Source organism: Homo sapiens, chromosome 18 (genome assembly GCF_000001405.40).
Source record: "Homo sapiens chromosome 18, GRCh38.p14 Primary Assembly".
Taxonomy (NCBI): domain Eukaryota; kingdom Metazoa; phylum Chordata; class Mammalia; order Primates; family Hominidae; genus Homo; species Homo sapiens.
Window position 1 is genome coordinate 4,000,653 of NC_000018.10, and position 25,262 is coordinate 4,025,914.

At 40.6% G+C, this 25,262-nt stretch overlaps 1 protein-coding gene and 1 long non-coding RNA gene across 12 annotated transcripts in view, besides 1 other annotated feature; one reads left to right on the forward strand and one right to left on the reverse strand.

Moving 5' to 3' along the window:
• The window catches only part of DLGAP1-AS4 (DLGAP1 antisense RNA 4), a 51,591-nt gene extending 38,300 nt beyond the window's left edge, over window positions 1–13,291 (forward strand). The window contains exon 5 of the long non-coding RNA NR_102696.1: window positions 12,967–13,291. This is a non-coding gene — a long non-coding RNA (DLGAP1 antisense RNA 4). The remainder of the gene's footprint in view (window positions 1–12,966) is intronic.
• DLGAP1 (DLG associated protein 1) overlaps window positions 1–25,262 on the reverse strand; it is a 959,276-nt gene that overhangs the window by 504,621 nt on the left and 429,393 nt on the right. For all 11 annotated transcript variants that reach the window (NM_001398527.1, NM_001398526.1, NM_004746.4 and 8 more), the window contains one exon: window positions 4,464–4,549. The gene's annotated coding sequence lies outside the window, so the exon portion shown is untranslated. The remainder of the gene's footprint in view (window positions 1–4,463; window positions 4,550–25,262) is intronic.
• Window positions 16,839–17,520: an enhancer, noted in NCBI's record as "NANOG-H3K4me1 hESC enhancer chr18:4017491-4018172 (GRCh37/hg19 assembly coordinates)". NCBI's record gives its function as "activates a minimal SCP1, AML or CMV promoter by ChIP-STARR-seq in primed H9 embryonic stem cells {active_cell/tissue: H9 hESC(primed)}" and the evidence as "EXISTENCE:reporter gene assay evidence [ECO:0000049][PMID:30033119]".

Genomic DNA, 25,262 nt, shown 5'->3' on the forward strand with positions numbered 1-25,262 from the left:
ATGGTATTTAAAGATCAATGTTGCTGGTTATAAAATCTTTAGCTCACATCTGCTTTCCTTAATATTTCTGAAATATTTTATACCATTGTCTTCTGGCACAAAGCATTGCTGTCAAAAAGTCTGATGACAATCTGATTTTCCTTCTCTTATAAGGGATATTGACTTTTTAACTAGTGCCAAAAAAACCTTTTTTCTTTTTATTTAAAGGTCAATAGTTTTAGTAGACTGTTTATATGTAGTGCATTCTGGGCCAGTTTTACCAGGTACGTCCTTTCAAATGTTGGGCAAGTGTATTTTTATGTCAGAAAAGCAGTCTTTGAATTATAATTGATAATATTTGTTCTTTCATTACATTGATTTTCTTTTTTAGGAACTTCTATTATATGTTCATTTGTTCTCCTATTCCTATTTTCTATGCCATTTTCATATGTATGTTTTAAATCTTTTTATTTTAAAAATATTCATTCTTTTCTTTTCTATTTTTCTTAAGGAACTTTCTGCAGTGTTCATTCACTATTTTATTTCTTCTAGTGTAGTCTAAAATTTTGGAATAAGTTTTTTCTTCAACTCTTAATATTTTTCTATTTCTATAAACTCCTTTTGAAGTCTTTGTTTTTTCAAATTAGCTTCTTTTTGAGTTCTTAAAATTCTGGGTTATGCTGTTCTTTAAAAGCTGCTATCTTTTTTTTCAGCTTGAGTTAAAATATTAGGCTAAATTTTCTTCTGTTTTGTTTGCAAATCTTTCTGGCATGCTTTTATTGTCTGCGGAGACATTACATTCCTCAAATCATTTTTCTTTATGGTAGATTCGATGGCCATTTTTTTCTTTATTAATGTTTAAGTGAGATGAGTTTTCTTGTACTCTTAGGAGAGTGAACCAGGATAGCTTCCTAGCTCTAGAGATTTAGAGCTGCCTTTTCTGTTATTTTTGGATGTGTTTACAAGTATGTATCTGCTATCTGTTGGCTCTTTGCTCTTCCCTCCACTTGCATCTGCGTCTTCTTTCTTTTGCCTCCTTTGCTCCTATCATCTATTTCCTGCTCAATTTGGATTCTATTCCAGTAGTTTCTCCTCAATGTGGGGTTTTGCTGTGGAGGAGATGGCTATTAAGGGTCCCTTTAGGGTCCATGGGGCACAGGCTCCTCCAGCACAAGCTGGTTCTCTTGGGTTCACCCACAAGTTGGAGGCGGCAGGACTCTAGGGGTTTCAGTTGCCCTTCCCAGAGTGGCCCACCAAGCCTTACAGTGAATACTTGTGAACTGTTTTTGTTTCTCTGCCTCTTGGGGCCATCAGAAGTCCCTTTGTCCTCTTTTTATTTCTTCTGATGTGTTGAAGACACTGTACAGGTCTTAATCTCACCAGTAGTTTATTACAACCCACACATATTTGGTTTATAGGGATGTGTTTTCCCGCTGCTTTATTGGAGATGTTGTCTGGGAGGTCTTGCTTTTGCTATCTTAGTTGCTCTGTTTCCATGGGGTGATTTGGAGAGGTGGAAAAATTATGCCACCTTGCCACCACTTTCCTAATTACTTTAAGCAACCAAAATTTTAGCAACGAAACTTTTAAATTACTTTAAGCAACCAAACTTTTAGTCTATTTCTGTTGTACTTTATTAGTAAGCATCTACCTGCCTGTCTATGTTAACACGTTTTCTGATGCACTATACAGTTGACCTTTGAAGAACACAGGTTTGAACGGCACAGGTCCATTTACATGCAGATTTTCTTCTGCCTCTCCCCGGCTGCTGCCACCCCGAGACAGCAAGACCAGACCCATCTCTTCTCCCTCATCAGCCTACTCAACGTGAGGATATGGATAAAGACCTTTATGATGACCCACTCCACTTCCAGTTAATGAAATATATCTTCTCTTGCTTATGATTTTCTTAATAACACTTTTTTTCCTCTAGCTTACTTTATGGTAAGAATACAATATGTAATACATATTACATATAACATACAACATATGTATTCAATGACGATGTTATCAGTAAGGCTTCCAGTCAATAGTAGATTATTAGTAGTTTCGTTTCTGGAGAGTCAAAAATTAAACAGAATTGTGACCCTTTGGGGCTGGTTCCCCTAATCGCCACATTATTCCGGGGTCAACTATTGTTTAATCAGCATGGTCATATTGACGTCCATGCATGTTGTTAATACTTGAGCCCTCAACAGAGAATATGTGCACAGTTCAGGGATCTATTGATGTCTTTCTACACTGCCAGGTCTCTATCTCTCTCTCCCCTTCCCGGTCTGTGAAAAGTCTCTGCGTGTCTCTTTGTTGCCACTATCTTGAGTGTTCTGGATGCTGATACAAGGCCAGTTGAAGGTGGATTGTCCATCTGAAGTGCTCCTGTGTGATTACTAGGCTACAGGACAGTCACAAACATCTCTCCTTCCTTTCCTCCCCTAAGAAGCTTTGAGCCCTGATTCTTCACCAGGGTGGTAGAGGATAAGTCTTAGAGAACCATGACCCCTCGTGGGAACATATTAAAATGAGGGGGGAATATACTGGGAGGAAACAATAGTTTGATAAAAGCTTCCCAGTTGGTTCTAACAGGCCTCCTCCGGGTTGTAGTTGGATCCTCTGCTCTTGGTAGAGACAGGGAAGGTGCCATGGAATTGGCCATGGGTCCAGATCACCTGGACATCCTCAGGCACAGGACTGGGAAGTGACTGACTGAGATTTAAGGGATAGGAGAAAAGAGAGAAAAGAAGGCAGGAGCCCAAGGATGTAATTTCTTTTTGGACCCATCTTCTTTTTCAGGTGCTTAATATCATTGTTTTTTTTTTTTTTTTTGGAAGTTAACAGATTTATCTTGAAAGCATTTGTTGTTATTCCTGCTTAAAGTCTAGCTAAGAAATTCTTTCAACTCTAAACAGAAAACAAAGTATTTCATTTTACAGGTAGAGATAAAAGGTATTGAATGGGAAAGTTTGAAAGAGGTGGCATTTGGGGTGAAAGTGTCTCCATCAAAGAAAAACTGATGACATCAGATCTGTGGCTGTTTTAATAGAGGGAGAGAATACAGGAAGGCAGAGGGGCTGGGAAGGGAGATGTAAGAGATAGGGAGCAGCAAGTGGATGCTGGAAATGACCATAAACTGCTAATTTCATAAGTGTATTTATCTTCACTTGTGCACAGAAAAATAAAGGCGCTGTGTGCGTGTATTAATGCTCTATATGAATGCCAGGACTGGTGCAGCCTCAGGCTCTAAGGAAGGAAGATGGTCAGGTATTTGGTAAGATGATTTGAAGACAGAGAAGTGTCAAAGAACTGATGGTCTGACTTGAGTCCTGGTGTATGATGTAAGAGCTTAACAGACTATAATATTCAGGATAATTTCTGAGGAACCCACAGAAGCTACAGTGTCCAGGGCACGTTAGTAACTGAGGGTCATATAATTAAACAAATAATTGTTATAGATGGTTCATTTGTAAGTTAGTAGACATTTCTGCTATAAGCAAAAATGTTGTCGTTTTGACTTCAGAGAAATAGACAACTTTATATTTCTGAGGCACTTATGTTTTCTCTATTGTGGATGATGTATCTTCCATTACTAATGAAGGATCATAGGAATTGAGGTAATTGAAACACATTTCTCCTCTCTATGGTATTAATATTTTTCCCAGTGATTGTTTTTCTTTTCCTGTTTCCTGGATATGACAGAGCACATGATATAAGTACCTAATCACTCGGGGAACAGCTACCCCCGAGGCCCTCTGCCTTCCTCCTGCTCTCCGGGGAGTCCCTTCTTCCCCCTTCCCTTCCGAATTAACCTGTTCTTTACCGGGATGTTAACATCATTCAGCCGCTTTCCCCATTCAAGGTTAGTGTTCCATTTTTAGCCCTGAAATACACATGAATTAGATTACTAGACTATTCACTGATCAATAATGTGAAAAAAACAAAAAAGAAAAACTATGAGTCAGAAGAGGAAAAATAGTGACTCATCAGACAGAGGGCGTCTCTATTCTATTAATTTCAACTGCACAGTCTATAATAACCAGTGTGTGAGAGTTTCAGCCTTCATCCAAATAACGTATGTGAAACCACAAAGGAATTCAAGCTGCAGACAACAAGGCACATTTAAGAGGTTACAATGTTAGTGTTGAGCTTGGGGACATAGAATAGAGCATTGATTTCTGATAAATTATTGTGTGCATTGACATTTTCGGCACAGGCATTTCTTTCTATATTATGGTTCCATAAAAAAGTCAGTTTGGGTCCATTAATTGCCTCAGAGGGAAGGGTGTGTGTGTGTGTGTGTGTGTGTGTGTGTGTGTGCGCGCGTGTGTTAGGTGGAAAGGTGGAATGTGCTGGATTCGGGAGGCGTAGTGGGATGTTGGCCTTTTACTTTGAAATTTAGATGTACATGCCTAATAACGTTAGCCTTTTATATTTTAATTTAGGATATCTGGGCTCCATTCTTCCCTTACTGCTTCCCAACCATGACTTACTGTTCTTAGCGCCGTTGTCATTCAATCAGGAATTCTCTCGAGCAGACCCTCTAGTGGCATTCAGTGGATCCCAGAAGAGATTTAGCCTGTTGGGAGCATAATGCATGTTTTAGTCTCCTGGTCACATACAAATGAAATAGGAGGGGGTGACAAAATATAGGAATTTAGGAGCGCCCTATGACTTGACCTTCTTTTGCACATTAGACAGACTTCTCAGATGTTTGAATCTTCAAATTATTATGTCTAATTACTTAAACTGAAAAGGTCTAAGACTGAATTCACTTTTTTCCTCTAAACATCTTTCCTTCTGAATTTCTTTGTTGTGTTTTGGTGATACTCTATTCCCCAGCTGCCCAGTTTTCCTAATTTTTAAAATATATTTACCCAGTTCAATTATTTATTCAACAAGTATCTATTCTGTTGGCATGTTGTGTGAGTCACGTACTGGGTACTCTGGGATGGAGAGATAGGTTAGTGCCCACCCTCGGGAGTTCACAATTTAGCAGGTCCCTTTCTGCATCCTCTCCCTCCTGTCAAGTGCACCTGTGTCTTTAGTTTCTTCCTTCCCATCCCTATTGCAGCTGCTCTGATAGGAGCCTTCTCCATCACACCTGGCCCACAGCAATCAAGTGCTCCATAGTCTCAGGGAGCCTAAAAGCTACAGCTTCAAAATCCAGTTTCTCACTCTCTAACCTCTTCCAGTAGTTCTCAACCTTGGTTCTGCATCAAATGTATTGGTAATTTTTTTTTATCTGTCTGTTTTTGACACGGATGCCTAGGAACCCTTTTGTAGAGGGCTTGGTTCATATGTAATCTCTAAATGGTGATTTCCTTGGGCTTCCAGACAAGAGACAGTTGTTCACTCCTCTGTGTGTCTAGTTCTTTGTACTTCACTTTTACTGATTACATTGGTATTCCTGTGCCACTCAGTCCATTTCACTAGACCATGACAACACTGAGGCCAAGAAATGCTACTCAGCTTTCTGTAAGTATTAGTTCCTTTTACCCCATCTTTAATGCCTAATGATGGACAGTAAGTTCTTGCCACATCTTCATTTTATGAAGTATTCTTCTCTTGCCATTTTGATTACAGGGAAAATAGCAACTATGGGAGACTAGCAAAGCCCCTGCATCCTGTTTGTCTTCTAGGGCCAGAGCAGGGCTAAACTGTGTTTGAAAGAACAGAAAATGAGTTGTTCCAATTTTCTCTTAGAAAAAGTCCAAGAAGCACTTGAAATTCCAGCATTCTCTTCTCTCCATGGGAAGCACCATTTCATTTCTCATTTCTTCATTAATACTCTCTTTTCCTTGTCCCCAAGAAAACTACCACTCTGTTCTCACCAACGAGTATAAAGTTGTTTGTTTCTTGATAAGAACAGAGGTCACTCTAAGAGTGCTCCAGCTGTTGAATTTTTGCAGTCACAGTTGGAGGAGGGTTAATCATAGTTATCGCAAGCAGCCTAACTTATCAACCCTTTTGAGTTATGTGTCCCTGGGAAAATTAGTGCCTCTGTTCCCCACCCAACCCCTGGCTTTTTTTTTTTTTTTGAGACAGGGTATTGCTCTGTCGCCCAGGCTGGAGTGCAGTGGCACGATCACAGCTCACTGCATCCTTGACCCCCAGTGTTCAAGTGATCCTTCTACCTCACCCTCTCAAATAGCTGAGACTACAGGGACCTACCACCATACCTGGCTAATTTAAAAAATTTTTCTGTAGATACAAGTTCTCACTCTGTTCCCCAGGCTGATGCTGCACTCCTGGCCTCAAGTTATCCTCCTACCTCGGCCTACTAAAGTGCTGGGATTACAGGTGTGAGCCACTGCACCCAGACACTTCATGGAACAATGCAGTGTTCTATGAAGTGCAATGTTTAACTGAATAAGAAACATACAGTAATTGTATAGAAATAGGGCTGTAGTGAGGAGTGAATGGGATAACAAGGTTAAAACTATCAATGTAGCGCCTGGCCCATGCTAAGCACTCAATACAAGAATAACCCTGGTGACACATATTATCTTCATCATAGTCAGATATTTCGAAAAGACTCCCAGGGAATAATTATGGGCTTTGGAGCCCAGGGCAGAGGCAGGGCTTCTTGCTCCTGGGGCAGCTCCAGGAGGTGCTGACTGGAAGGGTTGAAAGGCCAAGGTCTGAAGAGTGGCTGAAGAGTGAGTGACCCTTAAGGGAGCATTTGAGTTCCAACCCCCACGTTTCCCCTCGTGCTGTTTTATTACTTTCTTAAAATCATTTCATTGCTGGCCGGGTGCAGTGGCTCACGCCTGTAATCCTAGCACTTGGGAGGCAGAGGCCGGCAGATTACCTGAGGTCAGGAGTTCAAGACCAGCCTGGCTAACATGGCAAAACCCCGTCTCTACTAAAAAATACAAAAATTAGCCGGGCGTGGTGGCTGGCACCTGTAATCCCAGCTACTCGGGAGGCTGAGGCAGGAGAATCACTTGAACCCAGGAGGCAGAGTTTGCAGTGAGCCGAGATTGCATCACTGCACTCCAGCCTGGGTGACAGAACAAGGCTCCATCTCAAACAAACAAACAAACAAACAAAAAACCATTTTACTGCTATGAGGCATCAGAATAAAACCCTAAAGTTTTCTCAAAAGGGAAAATGTGTGTGTGTGTATTGGCTTGCTATTCGGTCATACCATGGTGACTTATGTCAAGGATTTATAAATACTTATTGTGCAAACACTATGGATCCTAGTCAGCATTCACTCAGGAACTCAACCTGCCTGTATTTTTAGGTTATCTTGAGATTTCTTTCTATTATTATTTTGCATGTAAGAGTGGTTCCCCTTTTTGCAGCTTCTTTTTCTGTCAATGGCAAGCTAAAAACCCACATTTGGAAAATATGACTATTCATTTGCTTAATTATCACATAAACTATTTTTTAAAATTGGAATCAGTCACTAACAAATCCTGCTGGGCTGTTTCCTCTGTCTGGACTCCTCACCCACTGGGATTTTTCCACTGAACTTTATGACATACAGTAGCCCCCACCTTATCCATGGGGGATACATTCCAAGATCCTCAGTGGATGCCTGATGCCCCAAACAGAACCAAACCCTATATGTAAATAAATAAATATATATATATACACACACACACACACACACACACTCACACACACATATACACCAAGTAACAACAACAAAGTTATTATGTCCAGCTCTTCCGTAAAATAAACATCAACTTGTCATCTCTTTGTAAAACTGCACATCTAGTTATATTTTTTCAGGTATAGTTAAACAAAAAATACCTATTTTCGCAAGGTATTTGTAGGCCATATAGTTATTATCTTTGAATCCAAGCAGGAAGGCTTAGCAAAGGCTCTGTACAGAAAGCTGTCGTGTCTTGTATCAGGCTACAATTTTTTTTAAGTTAAATTTCCCAAAGACAGGCACAGCAGTTGGATATAAATGGCTTCTGAAGAAATCACATCTGTCTAAAAATGAAAATCATTTTTCATGCCTAGCAATTTTGAACTTTCCAATTGCTCTGTGAAAGTGTTTTATTCTCATACAATGAAAGGCAGAAAAACCAAAACCAGTGACGGGGAAAAAAATAACAATTCCTATACAACTACCATATGCTTTTGATTTAGGTAGTTCAGTGCTCAATATGTTGCTTTTTTGTATTCGTTTTTACTTTTCTGACTTTTAAACCAATGCACAAAATGGGAACTGGATTATTCAAAGGTAGAAGAAGAAGAAGAAATGCTGCTGCTGATGAAGCCTTGCTACAGGACGTGGGAAGGGAGTGACAGCCACCGAGTCTCTCTCTTTGTTTTTGAAACGGAGTCTCGCTCCGTCGCCCAGGCTGGAGTGCGGTGGCGCGATCTCGGCTCACTGCAAGCTCTGCCTCCCGGGTTCACGCCGTTCTCCTGCCTCAGCCTTTGGAGTAGCTGGAACTGCAAGGCGCCCGCCACCATGCCCGGCTAATTTTTTATATTTTTAGTAGAACGGGGTTTCACCATGTTAGCCAGGATGGTTTCGATCTCCTGACCTCGTGATCCACCTGCCTCGGCCTCCCGAAGTGCTGGGATTACAGGTGTGAGCCACTGCACCTGGCCGCCACCGAGTCTCTTTAGACTCCACTTGCGCTCCATGCTCCTCTTGACTTCTGACCCAATCTGCAAATGAGCGGATGCGGATCATCAGGTCGCTGCTTTCCCGTCTGGCATCACTAATCTTGTATGAATAGCATTAACTACAGAAAGCATTCATTGAGATCCATGTTTCCTACTGTATTGCAGCCGATACTGGGACAACCACCACAGCAGCAGCAAACATTGCCTTGCTGTTACACATTTGTTTATTCAATCATTTCCTCATTCACTCAACCAGCAATATTGCTGAATGTGCCTGGTACTCTCCTAGATACTGGAGATAGAGAGGAGCAAGAAGGTGGGGTGCTTTCCCTCAATGAACTTAAAGTCTCCTGGAGGACACAGATCTGTCATAACATGCCCATGGCAGGATAGGGTTCTCTTCCTCCTTTGTTGCTGTATTTCCTTCCTCTCCTCACTCTATTGGAAGTAGAAAATATTTGCATAATAACAAACGGAAGTTATGCCATGAATGGGATTCATGTTCCCATGGTAGGGATGGGTTTGTTTAGTAGTGATTTCAAGCTGAAGAATGACAGCATCCACCACCCTCCCAGGAATGGGAACCTTTAGGTGAATGAGTCTCCTCACCGGACCAAGGGAACAGTAGCAGGATGGAGCTGGATCATGTATGGACAGGGAGGTAGAGGAGAAGAGAAGAGCTCCAAAGGTTAGAAGGATTCTTAGACTCCCATATCTGGCTGAATTTCTAAAGACTAAAGATGTAAAGAGGGCAAGTCATGATCTGCACTACTTACAAGATCATGCAAATTCTATTCTAGAACTTGAGCATATCTGTGATCCACAAGGAGCACAATTGTCTTGTTTTCTTGTAACAGACTCTACCACAGGACATGATACAGGGTTACACACCATTTCTCTAAATATTCCATTGAGATAAAAGTTTGTAATCAGATGATTCTTAATCTGATGTTACTTTGATTGCTACACAGTTTAGTGTAGTGTTTGCTGAGAAGGCAACACAATAAAATAAAAGTAAAATCAGATTAAGAATCATCAGGATTGCTGGGTGCGGTGGCTCAGTGCTGTAATCCCAGCACTTTGGGAAGCCAAGGCAGGAGGATTGCTAGAGCGTATGAGTTCAAGACCAGTCTGAACAACATGGGAAGACTCTGTCTCTACAAAAAAATATTAAAAAACTAGCCGGGTGTGGTGGCACAAGCCTGTGGTCCCAGCTACTTGGGAGGCTGAGGTTGGGGGAATGCTTGAGCCTAAGAGGTCAAGGCTGCAGTGAGCCATGATCGCGTCACTGCGCTCCAGCCTGAGTGACAGTGAGACTCTGTCTAAAAATCAATAAACAAAATTTAAAAAGATAAAGAATCATGAGAATGAAGCATTTGAGGCAACAAAAAGCATAGGAATCATACAACTGTGTGGAATGTATATATTTTTTGCTTTCAACTTTATTTATCAAATTTTCAATGCTATTGGTCCTTTCAGGGTTGCTCGTTAGCTCCTCTATTCTCATAAGAATGGAGGTGGGGATGCTACTACTTCAAGATCCGCATCTTTTTCCTGTCCCTTATTCTCATTAATGAATTATCTTATTCATCAAATGTCTACTGAGCACCTATTTATCATAGGCCCTTGGCTAGTCATCGGAAACACAAGGATGAAAAAAAAAAAATCCCTCCGGCCAGGCACAGTGGCTCACACCTGTAATCCCAGCACTTTGGGAGGCCGAGGCGAGTAGATCACCTGAGGTCAGAAGTTTGAGACCAGCCCGACTAACATGGTGAAATCCCGTCTCTACTAAAAATACAAAAATTAGCCGGTCGTGGTAATGTGCCCCTGTAATCCCTGCTACTCGGGAGGCTGAGGCAGGAGAACCACTTGAACCCAGGAGATGGAGGTTGTAGTGAGCCGAGATGGCGTCATTGCACTCTAGCCTGGGAGACAGAGCAAGATTCCGCCTCAAAAAAAAAAAAAAAAAAAAAAAATCCTTACCTGCCATCAGACGCTCTCTGTCTAGTTGTAAAGAGGTCGTGAGCATGGTGACCCCGCTTTTATAAGTGCCACCGGAAGGGAGAGGGCGTGGGAGAGAAAAGGCTCAAGGGGGGTGCAGCCAGGCTTTTCTGAAGTGAGAGAAGCCTTCCCAGAAGACTTGATGTAGGTAAAAGGCTGTTTAGAAACTTTCTAGATTGTCAAGGGGATGTGCATATTTCAGACAGAGCAATAGTACCTACAGGGGCAGCAATAAATGAAATAACCAATAGTTTGGGATGGACAGAGTATAGAATGTGGCGGTGGAGAGGGTGCTGATAACAGTCCTCTGGGCTGGGCATGGTGGCTCATGTCTGTAATCCCAGCACTTTGGGAGGCTGAGGCAGGAGGATTGCTTGAGCTCAGTAGTTCAAGACCAGCCTGGGCAACATAGTGAAACCTTGTCTCTACCAAAAAATAAAAATAAAAAAATTAGCTGGATGTGGTGGTGCACACCTGTAGTCCCAGCTACTTGGGAGGCTGAGGTGAGAAGTTCCTTTGAGCCTAGGAGGTCAAGCCTGCAGTGAGCCAGGATCACACCACTGAACTCCAGCCTGGGTGAGTTCAGTGGTGTGAACATGACCCTGTCTCAAACGACAACAACAACAACAACACAAAACCAAATTAAAAAAAAATCTTCTAACTTCTCAGAGAAAATAACAGCCATGAGCATAAGCACCCAAAGTCATGATGCATCCCCAAATGTGATGAGACCTGTATCCACATTTATTTCTAATTGTGGCATCTCAACTCCCCACACCCAACAGAACAGTTGACTCTACAATGTCCTTGGGCATCCATCTCTCCCTTTCATCCCTCTAACACTGCTTGAATTCAAGCCCAATCCTTTTCCACCTGGTGATTACCAAAACCTCCTAACTGCTTCCAGTCTCAGTGCCATGCCCACCTCTCCTGGCCTCTTCAGTGTCCTCCCCCAGCCAAGGGAGTGAATGTTCTGAAATTCTCAGAATATTCTAGTTAGTGAATGTTCTAATACATCTGCTTGTTATACGCCTGTCTACGCATAGCACAGACTTTAGTGGATCCCCATGGCCCGAGGCAAAGTTCAGGCTCCTCAGAGCAGCACTGATGGTTCAGACTGACACCTTTGCCCACCTGCCATCCCCCCCTCTGCCACTTCCACACAAAGATTCCCCCAGCCACTGCAAAAACATCTGCCACTGTATAACTGCACCACAGCCTCACAACACGGAATGGCACTGTGGACAGTTTCAGCAGCCAGGCCTGGGCATGAGACATACTCCTTTTCAGGTTCCACTGGCTATCCCCAAGCTACAGAGGGGGCCTGGGAAATGCAGTCTGGCTGTGGCACAAGAGGAAGAGAAAGCTGGTATTGCTGAGCAGCAGGCTGTCTGCTGTGGGTCCTTTAAACTGGTCTATGTATTTGACATTTGTCTTTTTCTTTTTATTCTATAAATTTTCTTTGACTATCTTGTTAACAGATTGCTCCTGTTCTTTTTTTTTTTTTTTGAGACAGGGTCTTACTCTGTTACCCAGGCTGGACTGCAGTGGCGCAATCTTGGCTCATGGTGTCAAAGGATCCTCCTGCCTCAGCCACCTGAGTAGCTGGGACCACAGGCATGCGCCACCATGGCCAGCTAATTAAAAAGAATTTATTTTATAGAGACAGGGGGTCTCATTATGTTGCTCAGGCTGGTCTTGAACTCCTGAGCTCAAGCGATCCTCCTGCCTCGTCCTCCCAAAGTCCTGGGATTGCAGGTGTGAGCCACCGGTCCCGGCCCTATTTATATTCTTCTATTGTGATTGCAATATCCTTTCAATGTTCTGTGAAAACTAATTGAGTAATATTAAGTTGTAGTTTCTGAAAGTTTTCTTATTTAAAAAAATTCTTTCTGTTTCCATTGGGGTCATTTATTCTGAATGTTCGTTTTAGCCCTAGTGTGTCTTGTGCTGTTGGGGTACCTCAAATCATGATTGCAAATGCTTGCTTATTGTTTGCCGGGTACTATTATAAGCATTTACATACGCAATCATTTAATATTTAAAAAGCCTCTCTAAGGTAAGGACTATTACTAACCTCAATATAGAGATAAGGAAACTGAGGCACAGGGTTTCCCTCACACAGGTAAGGAAACTGATCTGTGCCCAGGTCCACACAGTTAGTAAGTGAAGGAGCTGGACCCAAATCCAGACAGTCTGACCCTACAGTCTTCCTTTCAAATGGGTAGTGCACTTTGGATATCTGTTTGTGGTTAAAAGTTTCAAGCACTAAATTAGTCAATGTAGGCAGTTGTCAGAGGCTTTCTCTGCTTTTGTGTAAAGAGGACAAATCACAATAATAATTTCTATATGCTCCATTCTCCTCAACTCTCTGACATTTCTTTTTCTTTTCAGTGCAGGTTTCTCATACTTCCGGAGAAATAGAAAGCACCAGATGACAGCCACCACACACTTTTGTCCCCATTGCAATAGGATGCTTCTAACAATCGTAAAATTATGAAACACTGAATTCCTTAAAAGTTGTCCATTTGTGGATTTATCTGATGGTAACTATTAAATATTTAAAAGTAACTTTAATGAATCTACTTATGATGATTGAGTAATCTATTCTCTGAATTCCACCAAAAAACCATTTTATGACCACAGTCATAACGAACATATTTCTATAGTCCTAAGCTGGCAAGATAAATAGAGAACAGTTCATAATATAAACAATATATTTATTTATTCCTAAACTAATAAGATGACTATCAATCTGTAAGAGACTATGAAAATCAATACCGTATACTTGGTATAGTTGGTGAGAATTTCAGGAGCATGTTTGTTCTTTTATTTGTGTTTTGGAAGATACTTAGCCCACTTTTTTTTTTTTTTTTTTGAGATGGAGTCTCACTCTTGTCGCCCAGGCTGGAGTGGAGTGGCATGATCTCGACTCACTGCAACCTCCACCTCCCAGGTTCAAGTGATACTCCTGCCTCAGCCTCCCGAGTAGCTGGGACTACAGGTGCGCACCACCACACCCAGCTAATTTCTGTATTTTTAGTAGAGACGGGGTTTCACCATGTTGGCCAGATGGTCTCGATCTCTTGACCTTGTGATCTGCCCGCCTCGGCCTACTTAGCCAACTTTTAAGGACAAGTCCAGCCATCCTTATCCTTCACAGCAAATAACAAACATAGTGATTTGTGGGGGTGAAGAGATGTTGGTCAAGGGGTATGAAAGTACAGTCAGATAAAAGGAATGTGTCCTAGATTTGATAGAATACTAGGGAAATTACAGTTAACAAAAATTTATTGTACACTTCAAAGTAGCTAGAAGCAAAGAACTGTAATGTCCCCAACACAAAGAAAAGATAAATGTTTGGGGTGATAATATCTCAATTACTCTGATTTGATCATTACACATTGTATGCAGGTATCAAAATATCACATATCCCCCCAAAATATGTACAACTGTTGTATATTAATAAAAATAAATACAAACAAAAAGACCCAAATAGTTATTAATTATAGTGTAAATATTAGACTAGAGCCATTCTGGACAAGCACCTGTTCAACACCATATCCTCATTTTCTGGCACCCAGTAGACACTGCGGAAGTATTTTTGATTGGTCCTGCAGAGGTTCTACCCCAACCTCACCAGGTGCAGGTGGATGCCAGGTGCCAGCCTGGGAGAGGCTCTAAGTTCTAAAGAGTGTGTCGGTGGATGGTGTGCTTTCATCTTTTAGTTCATATGGCCCTGCCTTTTATTAACAGCACAGAACACTGGGCCCAGACTCTTGCGAGAACATGCCTTTGAACTGTTTGCTGCTCACCTTTTAGTGAAAGCTCTTGACAGAAATATTAAAGAGAAAGTGTTTAAAGGATGTGTGGTCAATGCATTCCTGACGGTGACTCTTCTGTGGATTGAAAGCTCTGAAGTCCCACGCTGGAAAAACACTTAGAGAGACTTACAGAGATAATGGTGTGTATAACTTCAGAGGCCTGTGCTCTCTCTTGAAGTGCATATTGACGCCCTAGAGGGTTCTGTCCATGATGAAAAATAGGCTTCAGTTTTTGCCATCTCTAATCAATTGGTAGTGAAGACCAAGAGCACTGTTTTGAAATGGATCTGAGCCTAGTTTTGTCCAAGCAGAAAAGAGTTCTATGATGGATCCACACACCCTAAGTTGGGGTGAGGAAGCTGCTGGGCCACGGGCTATGATTTTGGTATCCTTACTCTGGAAATTAAGGTAGTCTACTAGCAAGCTGTGTGTGTTGACCACACACTTTCTAATGTATCCAGAACATTGCTTCCATTGAGTTGGACTTGGTCATTATATCCTGTTTGCTTTTAGGGAAAATTTAAAAAAGTTTCCCATGACACCTGCCTTCACTTTTTTTGTCAGAATGTCATTGAAAAACACTGGCTACGACATATCAGAAAAAATGTCCTTGTCAGACCTAAGTGTCAGGAAAATCTTTGCTTCACTGAAGAATTTTATTCTTTCAGGACAAAATATGAGTGACATAATATACAGTATTCCTCTTTGCTTCGGCTTTTAGGAATATCAGCTTAATGTCAACAATTGCATAGCACACTATAACAAAAATCATACAATGATACTAATTTTTATTTATATCTCTATCCATCAATCTATCCCACTGTTGAGCTAACAATTCTTACAAGCCACTCCAAATTCTTTGTGGAACAAATCAAGATATATAAAGGTAAACAAATAATATTGTATAGATGTTGATATTTTAATTCTCCCATGAAAAACAAAAGTTCTCCTTCCTTTGGCTTCAGAAAATTCATTAATTTTCCAACTTTAAGACTGAAGAGTAATGAACACATGCTATCAGCAGATTTAAGTATCTAACTACAGTTCAAGCCTTCCCTTTCATATTCCTTTCCAGTATGACTGAATAACTTCTTTTCCCTAGAGACAGATATTTAGCCTTCAATTTTATATAGGAGAAAGAACACAAAATTTTAAAATATAAAAGCAATATAAATCTACAGTGGTCTTCAGAGTTGTTCATTTTTAATATAAATAAATTACTAGTTCAAATAACTTCTCCAAAACAAGTTTCCCAGACCACCAAGGCAGCCGCTGGTGAGCGGCCTCACCTGTTATCATCAGTCTTTTCTCATCACACTTCCCTATTTAAGTGTGGAATTGTTCCCAGTTCAAAGATATATGGGAGAGAAGTGGCTGGATGGGTAGGATACACAGAAAACCTTGTGTACATTCTTTGGGAGAAGCTTCTAGAGAAGAATCTGAGCCACAACAGATTACCCTTGGGGAAGTTTGTGGCTATCATCATGAAGGAAGGCTTAACCATTACACAAATCTTTGGAATACTTTTCTTCTGAATTTCTTAGGCCCAGGAGGCTCTATTGCTCAAGTTCATTTTGAAGCACACTGGTTTCAAGACCTGCGTAAGTGTTCCTTGAATTAAAAAAAATCTTTCTCAAGCTCTAGGTATGCTGACAAGTTTGGTAGACCAGAAGTGTGATACTTCTACCTGCGAGGCTCCAGCGGAGTCAGCACTGCAAGGGAGAAGGCAGGGCTCCTGAGCTCAGTTCAGGGTCAGTGCCTTACTTCCTGTGTGATCTCTGCAAAGTGATTTAGTCAACCTCTCAGTCTCAGTTTTCTCATACATAAAGTAGGGATAAAAGTCATATCCAGCTTGCAGATTGACTGTGCAGATTAAATGCATGTCATGTAAAGCACGTGGAGTATACTAAAGGCTCAATAAATACTAGTTCCCTCCCTTCACCTTTCAGCCCCTCATCTCCCCAGCAATATTTTCAGATGAATAAGAGGTGAGAATTTTCAGTCTTATTTACACCAAAGATCACGTTTGGGTAGTCAAAATAAAAGTGACCATATAATCTAAGGAAATAAGTGAGTTATGTGTTCTTAGAACAGGACAGAATAATTAAAAGCAGGCCTGTGCAGAAAACCTGGAAATATGTTGCACATCATCTCTGCATCCTTCCCTCACTCCTCCTTCTCTCTCCCTCAGGGTAGTAGAGCAAAGAAAGTAGAACTCAGGGCAGGGCTTGTGTCTGTTTTGTTCACTCGTGTACACCAAGGGTGTAAAATCCTCATACAGATTTGATGCTCAATAAATATTTGATAAACTGAATACTCAGAAAGAAAGCAGAAATGGTTTGGGACTTCATATCCTGTTTTCCCTGGAGTTCAGCATAAATAAAATAATTATTTCTAACAAAAAAGTTAAAGAAAGTCTTTAATCTTCTACCACAGAAAAAGGTATTGGATTTTTACTCATTTTCCTCAAGCACATACCCAAAAAATGCTCCCAAACAAATAAACATCAGTAAACAATTTCTGGAAACCCAATGTAGCAATAGGTTACAAATAAAGCAAAGAGTGCCCCTGCTGAAACTGCTGTTTATCTTGCAAGGGCCCTCCAGGGTGGAGCTCTCGCCCTCTCCTGGCTCAGCCTTAAACTTCACTATAAGTAAGCAGAATACAGCGGAGACAAGAGGAAGTAGTTCATTTGCATAATACAAACAAAGACTCTCAGGTGAATGGTTTGCCAGTTATCAATGTTTGCTTTGCCGATTAGTGAAACAATCTACCAGTAAGTCTACCTAAAGCCTAATGTGCTATACTTTTTTTTTTTTTCCAGAAAGTTGGTCAATGGAGAAGGCATCAATTGGCAACATTCGGTTGGACCAGTTAATGATTCAGTTTGCTTTTCAAAAGATACTAGCAGACAGCATTAATCTTATCACTCTCTTTAAGTATAATCTGGACGCAGAAAATCACTCACATGCCTTAAGTTAGGTTGGTAACCAAAATATCCATTGTTTCTCTGGATACTAACAACGATTATATTAATAGAAATAGCAGGGACTGTGAAGATTGGCTATGACAAGTGATGCTGTGGTTTACTCTGACTTAGGTTTGCTTCCATGGAGGTCTGATTGTGAGATGGAGATCTGTGGGGAGTTCCACTGGGATGTGCTCTGGGCAAAACCACTATGACAGCAGTGAAGGAAGAAGGATCGGGTGGGAGGGGCACGCTGGAGTCCCGAGCTGGGATGCCCTTCAGAACTGGCCCAAACTGAAGCAGTGGGGATGAGTCTTTGTATCCCCCGCAGTGGCCAGACATTGGATGTGGGCTGCCCAGGGAGGAAGCATGACCTCGTGTGAGGCAGCTCCCTTTGGCCAAAGGCAATTTTCCAGAAGGGATACAGCTGAGAGCTGTCAGGTGCCACCAATTCCAGCAGCTGGCAGAACGAGTACCTTGGCTCTGAAGGAGTATCTGGGTCGCCAACTACAGCATCCGCTAAAACCGGCAAGTTTAAATAACAAAATATTTAGGAATGAGTACTTCCCATGTAACCTGCATATAAAGGACATTTAACAAATATTTGTCGAATGAATAAATGAGTGGTTATTAGGATGGAAGAATGATCAGTAGTGGATGTAAACTCCATCAGAAGGGATTTAAATAAGGCTGAAGACAAATACAGAATTATAATAATAAACCACTCAGAGCAGAAGAACTTTCAGCCTAGATATCTGTATTATGACTTCGTCATTAGATTTAATTATTCGAATTCTGAATTTAAGCTTTACAGCAAAAGTAGAGGGGAAAGATGGAAAAGGTACTCCGATTTGGGGGGTCAAGGTTCAATAAGTGAGGGTTCCCCACTCACTTGGAAAGGGCTATCATTCTATACATAAGAATTTGACAGAAAAACTCAAGGCTTTAAAAAGGAAATAATTAGTCTGTGTGAAGCAGCTGAAAGAAGTGAAAAACATCATTGACTGAATTTTTTCAAAATTAATGACTCTTCCTGCTTGGAGCTCTTTCAACTACAGTAATCAACATCTAAAATTCTTGCGAAGGTCATTTCTGAGCACAGTCTATTCTGCTCCATCTAATGATCCAATTCCTCTTCCTCTGAGTGTCTGGGCATGCTCATCTTGCAGCCAGCCGTCTAATCACAAAGACATTTTCCCGACATTATGCATTAGAAGATGCCCCTTACTTTATAAAGTTATATAAATTAGAATCTATTTTATCCAGGGGCTTATATGGTTAATTTCAAAGATGCTTTATCTTCTTTTCTCAGTGGTCTTCATACCAAAATAGATTCTGACACTTAACCTATAAACACTTCCGTCGCTTAAGATTTATCTGATTAAAAGCTTATAAATACACATTTTCATATACTTACAAGATATAATTTTTTATGCAAAAGAGTCTTCTTAAAATGAAAAGTCCTTTTCGTTTTCATTATGCAAATGTGTATTTTCCAGACTTGCCTTTATAACTCTTCAATGTCTTTGGGGAAGAATATTCTGTCCATATAAGGCAAATATAACTTATTGGCACTTCACAGATTTGTTTCTGTAGCTTAAGATAGTCAGGTTGTTTGGGGGAATTTTTTTGTTCTAATGATTTAAATATTTTATTCTAATTATTAGAATATATCATTTAACTAGATTATTAAGTAGATACTTCTTCTGTGTTGCAGGATCAATCTTTAACCAGGGTACCTGGCTATGCCTGTCCAAGGAATCTAGGAAACGAGACACATAGGCGCGCGCGTGTGCGCGCACACACACACACATACACACGCACACACCCCCTTCCCTCCCAAAACCTGAAATTTCACCAAGAGCAAATTCTATGACCTATAAAGGGCATATAATTTTATATATTTCAGGGAGACATAGTACATCCATCAATACATGTAAGATTTACATTGGTTTGATCTGGAAGGGTGGGACAACTCACGTTTTATGTAGATTTAAACATATTCTGATTGGCAACTGGTTGAGTTTTTATCTATACAAAGGAATGTCTGGGTTATGGTAGGGGTTGTGGAGACCTAGGTTTTATCGTGCAGATGAAGCCTCCAAGTAGCAGGCTTCAGAGAGAATAGACTGTAAATGTTTCTCACCAGACTTAAGGTCTGTGTTGATGTTAATGCTGGAGGGGTATTGTGAGGCATGTCCAACCCCCGACTTCCTGTCATGGCCTGAACCAGTCTTTCAGGTTAAATTTTAGAGCGCCTGGCTGAGGAGGAAGTACATTCAGATGGTTGTGAGGGGCCTTTGAATTTTATTTTTGGTTTATCGTCCCAAGGTTTAGCTACATGAATAATAATTCTATGCTTTTAAAATGTTAATTCATTCATTCTACAGACTTCTTGAGTAACCGTTATGTGCCAGGTCCTGGGCTGGGGAGGAGGACCTCATATAAATTAGGACTTGATGTAGTTTGGATATATGTCCCCACTAAATCTCATGTTGAAACATAATCCTTGGTGTTGGAGGTGGAGCCTGTGAAACTGCCTTAGCAAAAATTATAACTGAGGAAATTATGACAGTGAAAGAGACCTGACCTAACCAACTCCATCTTGCTTCTAACCTCTCAGCTGTCCTTGTTTATTCCTGGGTGTAGGCCAAACTAAGCTTGGGAAGGAATTTAGTTCATAGTTTAACTTTGAAACAAAGATGATAATAAATCCCCTTCTTAACGGGGGACCAGTCGGCCTTTGTAGGACTAAGAAACTAGTTACAAGATTAGAAATTACAGTTAGGAGCCATACGGCCTCTGGTTGCAAGAGTCTGAACCTCCCCAGATTGCTCCTGGGAATAACATTACTGTTGTAAACCCTAAGATCAGTGCTTGAGTTATTTTGCACAACCTGTGTTCTGTTCTGATGGACCAGCTGACACCACCCAGACTGGTAAACTGGTTCAACCAGCTCGGCAATCCCACCCATGAATAGTAGACCGCAAGAAAAACTCACTTCGGCGCCTTACGATTTCATCTCCAACCCAAGCAATCAGCACTCCCCACTTCCTGAGCCCCTACTTGCCAAATTATCCTTAAAAACTCCGATCCCCAAGTTTTGGGGGAGACTGATTTGAGTAATAATAAAACTCTAGTCTCCTGTACAGGCGGCTCTGCGTGAATTACTCTTTCTTTATTGCAATTCCCCTGTCTTGATAAATCGGCTCTGTCTAGGCAGCAGGCAAGGAGAATCCATGGAGCAGTTACACCTGGTGGGAGGTACTTGGGTCATCAGGGCAAGTCCTTCATAGCCTGGGGCTGTGCTCAACACAGTGAGTGATTTCTTGTGAGATCTGGTTGCTTAAAAGTGTGTGGTACCTCCCACTGTCTCTCTTTCTCTCTTGCTCCTGCTTTTGCCATGTGACATGCCTACTCTTGCTTCACCTTCTGCCATGAGTAAAGGCTCCCTGAGGTCTCCCCAGAAGCCAAGCAGATGCTGGTGCCATGCTTGTACAGCCTCCAGAACCTCAAGAGAATTAAACTCCTCTTCTTTGTAAAATTGCCTGGTCTCAGGTATTTCTTTTCTTTTCTTTTTCTTTCTTTTTTTCTTTTTTTAGACCGAGACTTGCTCTGTCGCCCAGGCTGGAGTGCAATGGCGCGATCTTGGCTCACTACAACCTCCGCCTCCTGGATTCAAGCAATTCTCCTGTCTTCAGCCTCCCAAGTAGCTGGGATTGCAGGTATGGGCCACCATGCCAGGCTAATTTTTGTATTTTTAGTAGAGATAGGGATTCCCCGTGTTGGTCAGGCTGGTCTCAAACTCCTGACCTAAGGTGATCTGCCTGTCTCAGCCTCCCAAAGTGCTGGGATTACAGGCGTGAGCCACTGTGCCCAGCCTCTCAGGTATTTCTTTATAGCAACACAAGAACAGACTAACACAGAACTCAAATGAATGAGTTCTGTCCTCAACTGCAGTAACTGTAAGGAGGTATTATCACATTTTCTGTCCCCTAGTGAGAAAGACTAATCCTTTAAAACTACAGTAAGTTCACATTGTATGAGACTCAAGCTGAGCTTTCATGAAGGCTCTCAAACAGAGTTGGTGTTTTTATAGTATTGTTCACATGTTCTTAATTTTGTTTTTTCCTCAACTTTTAAATGTTCAGAAAACTTTTTTAAACATAGACTTTAGATAAGAAAATTTAAGATGATTGTGAACTGCATGATATTTTATTATCGTCAATCCACAGAATGCTTCTATTTTGTTTCATTTACTTTGGTTTTACTTTGTTCTCTATTATCTTCTGTCTCTAATCTCACAGCCCCCTCCAACCATAGTCAGCTTTTATTATATATATATGAAATATATAATATTTATAATATATATGTTCATCCATTCTACCTTTTACACACACACACACACCACACACACACAGAGAAGATGTGAAAAATTTTTGCATTCACTGTGCTTAATTTACATAGATGATACTGTGGCATAAGTATCTTCTAACTTTTCTTATTCAACCCTGTTTTTAAAGATCTACTCACGATGCTACATATAAGTCTAAGTGATTGCTTTTTACATTCCATCATATGCCATGCTATTCATACATTGGTAAGTCTACTAACAGTAATAGCTCTGCCATGAACATGAACACACCTTATTCTTGAGCACCTGAGTGATTTGTGGAGGGTATATTTAGCAGTAGAATTGGTGGATTGTTGGGTGTATCCACACTAAATGTCAGCAAACTCAGTGAGATTATTTTCCCAAATAGCTCTGTTAGATTATATTCTCACCATCAAGGTATCAGGGATTCCATTTCTATATATCTTCACCAGCATTTGATGTTATGCAACTTTTTAGTTTTTGTCAATCTGATGATTATAGACTGACACTTTATCAATGATTTAATTAGTATTTTCCTTAGCAGTAGAATTGGTGGATTGTTGGGTGTATCCACACTAAATGTCAGCAAACTCAGTGAGATTATTTTCCCAAATAGCTCTGTTAGATTATATTCTCACCAGCAAGGTATCAGGGATTCCATTTCTATATATCTTCGCCAGCATTTGATGTTATGCAACTTTTTAGTTTTTGTCAATCTGATGATTATAGACTGACACTTTATCAATGATTTAATTAGTATTTTCCTAATTTTGAAAGAGTTTGGGCATCTTTTAATATTTACTACCCATTTAGGTTTCTCTTGCTGTGAATTGCCTATTCAGAGACATTGCTTATTTTTTTTCTTTAGGTTTTCTTTCTTTTTCTCCTTTCTTTTCTTTTTAAAAATGTACCATATGGACAGTCTTTTTAAAAGGCTTTTAACACTAGGAAAACTTTGGGCTTTCCTAAAAGCTATACAACTGTCATGGGTAAACTTTATTGCATTGACTTTGACTTTCAAGAAACCTACAGCCATATTTGCCATGTAATCACAGCTGTGTTTTCCCTTTCAGCAAGTGTATTCGCATTCTTGTACTTTCTTGGAACCTAATTTTTGCATTCAATGTTATTATTAACTTTATTTTTATGTCTCTTGTCATAACCTGACTCAAAAGATGTTTTGAAGGAGTCAGGCACAAGTGAATCAATAAGCTTATTTTTTTTCAAAATGTTCCAGTTTAATTTAAATTGGTCTTCTTGCTAGAACAAAATGTGTTCCCACTCACCTTAAAGTGACAATAGGCTTCTGAATTCCATGGCTGTAGGTGTCATCTAGTTCAACAACACGCTTTTCAAATAGGAGATGGAAGACCACTGAAGTCACCTGAAGCTGTTTAGGAGACACAGGCTGGAGCAAAACTGGAATGGCCTAGCATTGAATCTGGTTTCTCTTTTCTTTTTATTTATTAATGTAATAAAAAAAATTTTGGTTTCTATTCTGCTTAGTAGAAAAGGTTTATATATGGATCACATGTCTGTGTGTGTATCTCTGTGTGAAAGTGTCTGTTTTTTGTAAAGTTTATGTATTTTTCTTCCCCTCTCTCATTGGCATTTATCTCGATGTAATTGACTTGAGGTTTCTGGTCTTGGTAAATTTCCTATTATTTCAAAAGCTTTGAAAAATTATTAAATCTAATTTAGAAGTGTAAAATTCCAACTCAAACTTTGGAAGTCAAATTAAAACTCCTCTCTTTGGTAATCTCTGAGATAGTATATACAAATATCATCCCTCTTATTAATTGTTCAGCTCTTTTCTTAAATCATACATGAATGACTTGTCAAAGACAAAGTATTAGCATCAGAAAGATTCTCAGTATCAGGACTTGGAGGTCATGTTGCACTTCAGTCTGGAGCTTCTGAGAATGGAACCCTGATCTCCCATCCTCGTAGGATCCCCACTTTCCCGGTGAGGCCTAAACAGGAAGGGAGCACCACAGCTGGGAAGAACCCCATGTTCCTGATCTGGATCAAGGGAGTGCTACCCCCACAATGGTGATACTAATGCTTTTTCACGGAAACTGGCTTCCGAGTTCAACAAGACAGGCAAAGGGGACGTGGCAAATTCCCCTCTTAACACTTATGCTCGGAGTGACATGTCTGTTCGTGCTCACAAGCTGGCATTAAAGCAACTCACGTGGCCACATCTGTCTAGAAGGGGTCAGGGGAGTGCAATTCTTTTATGTACCCAGAAAGGGGGGAGAAATATTGGGTAAAGACTACTAATGACTACCACCTTCTGCAACCCTCACTTTTTCTGACTATGATGATAATGACACCCTTTGCCTTTACATAGTATAGCTGTGCCTAATCAAAGGGCACACTGGCCAGACTTAGAGGTGGGAGTGACTTCTAAGGAGCATGGACTTTACCTGGGAAGGTGATGGGCTTGCTGGGGAGCTGTGGTGTTCGAGAGCCAGATGGTTGACTCATGAAACAGTAATCCAGGAGTGAAACAGAAACCAAGTTCTTAGGCAGGCAGTGCTACCAAGTCATCAATATGAAGGGACCAGGCAGAGAGCAGGAGACTCGGACACTGGGGAAATCAGACAAAACAAGAACCCACCTACCTGCCCTCTGTCCTCCTGCCTCCCATAAGTACTTCTTGTGCACTTATAAAGTGGCAAGCACTATTTTAGGTTCTAGGGATTTAGCAGCGGAAAGACAAGTAGAGGAAATAAAAAAGAGTGTGTGAGGCCTTGAGTGTGCATAGGTGGAGTGACCCTGTCCAAGGTCATGTGTGTGCACTCTACACTGAGTATTTCATACCCACGGCTCATTTGAAACATACAAGAACTCAAAGAGGTGAGTACTGCTATTACAGGTTGAGTATCCCAAATCCAAAAATCTGAAATCCAAAATACTCCAATGAGCATTTTTTTTTTGAGTGTCACATCAGTACTCAAAAATTTTCAGATTTTGGATTTTCAGATTTGGGATGCTGATCTGGTAAGTGGAATGCAAATATTCCAAAACCCAAAAAAATCTGAAATCTGAAGCACTTATAGACCCAAGCATCTCAGATAAGGGACACTCAACCTGTATAACCATTTTTCCAATGAGGCAACAGTTCTTCAGGGTGGTAAAGTGATTGGCCCACGGTCATGCAATTGATCCAAGTCCTGGTTTTCTGACTCTAAAGGCCCTTTTCATTTTATTTTTGGACAATAACATTGTCATTTTTAACAGAACAAACATATTGTAAGTTTCCAGAGTTTAGATCTCTGCCTTCTAAGGTTACTGTTTTCCATCTGAGTTCTATTTTCTGCTGATAATTACTAAGTTTTGAAAATAATTCAAGCCATATATATACAATTTATAAATATCATATATACACATATATAAAATTGTTTTACATGACTGCTAAGGGATTCTTCAAACTGACATTTTTAAAAGCCAAGTGAATATATTGAAGGTATTTTTAAAAAACAGTTACTTTGATTTGAAACAATCTCTTGTTATGATA